This window comes from Homo sapiens, chromosome 14, assembly GCF_000001405.40.
Source record: "Homo sapiens chromosome 14, GRCh38.p14 Primary Assembly".
In the NCBI taxonomy this organism is placed as follows: domain Eukaryota; kingdom Metazoa; phylum Chordata; class Mammalia; order Primates; family Hominidae; genus Homo; species Homo sapiens.
The window spans coordinates 51,202,704-51,205,912 of record NC_000014.9 but is presented as its reverse complement, the minus strand read 5'-3'; the positions used below and the strand labels follow the sequence as shown (position 1 = coordinate 51,205,912).

The window sequence follows — 3,209 nt, the reverse complement described above, 5'->3', positions numbered from 1 at the left end:
AAAACAAGGCACCTGGTGACATATTTCCTGGGCAGAGTGGAGACACAAGCCTTCGTCACTTCCCCCTCACCTCCTCTTGCCACAGCCTTCTTGCCTGCCACAGCTAGCCGCCCATGTGGTCTCTGGCACAGCATATGTTCACATGATATTAAAAGCAGTCGAGAGTAATGGGGAATTAGTTCTGGTGGGGGTTGGAACTGGACTGCTCTTCACCACAAGATCTGACCCTACTCCTGACCTGCCTGTGGCGTGGCTCCTTCCAGACCAGAGCAGCAGATGGGCTCTGGCCTCCCTGCCCTCTGATGTGCATTCTGGTTGCTGGAACATACTCATTCGAGGCAGAGGGGCACACTGTTCCTACCATGGCTTTAAAAGGTCATGTTTCCCCCCATTTTTGCGAGAGAGGGCTGCTGAGTCAAGCACTATTGAAACCGAAGAACGCGCACAGTAACAGCTGATCACCAGTGTGCTTACTATGCCTCAGAGTCCAGAATTTCTGATTTTTTTAAAAAGTACACTCTATTCAAAGTGGTTTAGCCAAGAAAAATGAGTATTTCTTTCTCGTTATGGAAAAAGAGTTTTAGACTTCAAATGTGATAAATGCGTGGACTGGCTCAATCATTAATTTTCCTTAAATGACAAAGGAAATTTATACAGATTAAACTTTAATTTTCCATTGGCATGTCTTTCTGTTTGAGATTTTTATAAAGAAATGAGATTTCTTTTTTATTTTATATTTATATAAAACATAAAATTTTAGATTTTTAATATCTTTCCAAAATTTTCTAATACAGATGGTTCCATTTTTTACAAATATAATAAAAGCCATATGCAATAGTTTCTTCCCCATTCTGCCCTCTGCCTCGCAAGGCCTGTGGGGATCTACCAGCCATTTGAAATTGAGCTTTGCAAAGCCTTTTGAGCTCTCCCACCCTTCATCTCACCAGGGATAATTAATGTGTGAGTTGGTAAGTTCTACATTCACCCACTTGCCATTTTTATTTGGTCTCTCTTCTGATATGGTATGGTATTTATTGTTAAGGGTAACGTTCCCTCTGGAAATAATAAATAAACAGCCAGAAATTATTAGCCACAGGGGGGAATTGGATTACAAATAGGAAGCCTTGGAGATCTGAAACATTTCCATAGGGAACAAACTCCCAGAAGACTCCTCCGCCTGCTTTATTTCCTTCCATTTCCCCTGTAGATTCTGCTTTGCTTCAGTCAGGAGAGTCCTGCATTGCCTCCTGTGGTATATGGAGGGGTAAGAAAAGTCCAGGCTAATCTCGAGGAGAGGGACAAGATGGCTGACTAGATGCAGCCAGGAAACCCCTCTTCCATCCACAGAAAACAAAATGTTGAATAAACCATCAGACTTCGAACGGATCTTTTGAGAGAAAACACTGAAAGTTCATAGAGCGGCAATGCAGACACCAAGGTTGAAGAATAAGGAAGCTGGGAAGCCTGCACGGAATTGCCAAATGCCAGGACTGGCTCCCAGACCTGAACAGGTCCTAAGGAAGGGGTTAGCAAAGGACCTCTGGGGCACCACACTCCCACTATGGAACTCTGGGATTTTAGCTCCAAGAGATCCCATGAACCCCACAGACATTCGAATTGGCAAGGAGACTGCCTGGAGAGTAGGCAGAGGCAGAGCTGCAACATGCACAACATGCACAACATGCAACATGAAACCAACAAAGGTTTCAAATATGGGGTAGCTGTAGCAAAACAGCCACAGGCGCCCGTCCCCCAGGGCTCTCCATCTTGCTCTGAGAGGCTCTAGCCCCTGCTGACTGCTGGGCTGGGAGAAGGCAGGATTGCCTTTCCCATGGGACCAAGGCATATCTGATCTGCCTGCCCCCTTGCCTGCTGGCCGCCCTCCTGTAAGCAGGCACACAAAGCACAGCCCCTACTGCTCTGCCTGAGTGTTTTGCCAGTGGCCTGGGAGTATTTTGGCACCCCCAGCACAACTGGTGCTCAACCCCAAGGGGCCAGAAGACAAAGCTATGGGCCTGGTCCCAACCCTGCAGGGTTTAGCACACTGCCCAGGGGTATCAAGCTGAACTCTGTGGTCTGAGTTCAAGTGGGGGAGGAGTCCCCACTCTCAGAATACTGAGAAGAGTGAGGCACAGGTTCATGAGCCAGCACAGGAGCTGGGCATCTCTCCCTTTGCAAGACCAGTCTGGGAGGGTTGTAGCCTATTGACCAGCTACAGCTTCTGCCCAAGGGAGCCCCATAGTCTGCCACAGAAGTCTCAGGGTTTGCAAATCTAGCTGAGTGGGCTTGCTCCTGGGGCAGACACTAGAGGGAGATCTGCTCAGGGCAGTGTGAACTGGGAGGGCCCCACAGCTGTTGCTGGGCAAAAAACCCCTGAGGCATGGGCACCACACTAGCTACACACCCAGCACCACCACCCTGCCCAGAGATCTGCCACCCTTGACCCACTGCATCACCACACCACCCACAGACATACCCCACAACCTGCTATGACTCTGCCAGGCACAGAGGAACAGCAGGTCCCCAGGGAGTTGCAGGCTTTCTGGTGACCTAACCTTTGGCTGAGGCCACCCTCAAGGGACGGGGGAGTATAGCCTGCCACGGCCTCCCTTGGGGCTATGGAAATGTGGGTGCAGCACCAATGATTGGAAGGTACTTGCCCAAGGCCCTGAAAGGGACTTGGTGAGGAGGTTATCTCTTGTCACCTCCTGTTGTCCCCCTCTCCCCAGAGCACTGCTGCGAAGGCACTGAAATATAAAAGAAGCTCATGGTTGAGTAAAAGCCACCTGTCTGCCCGCACTCCCTCCTAAGCACCATCTCTAGGATCACAGCCTGAATTACACCACCGAAGAAAAATTTCTTCAGCACACATCTGCAAAACCCAGTATAGGAAACTAGCCACAACTGAGGAACACATACAGAGCTTTGACCCTTTGAAATCCCCTAGAAATGAAGCCAATTGACTATACATAGTACACACCACAGTCAAACCCTCAAGGAAAGAAAAGAATATAACACAAAAAGCCCCATCCAAATGACAGCAACTTCAAAAAGATAAAGAAACATCAACCCTCAGATGAGAAGGAATCAGTGCAAGAACTACAGCAGTTAAAAAATTCAGAGTGTTTCCTTACCTCCAAAGGATTGCATTAGCTTCCCAGCAATGGATCCTAACCCAATTGAAATTTCTGAGTGACAAACATAGAATT

The 3,209-nt window shown here is 48.1% G+C and overlaps 1 annotated feature.

Moving 5' to 3' along the window:
* Positions 2,037-2,216: an enhancer, noted in NCBI's record as "active region_8371". NCBI's record gives its function as "activates an Ori minimal core promoter by ATAC-STARR-seq in GM12878 lymphoblastoid cells {active_cell/tissue: GM12878}" and the evidence as "EXISTENCE:reporter gene assay evidence [ECO:0000049][PMID:35858748]".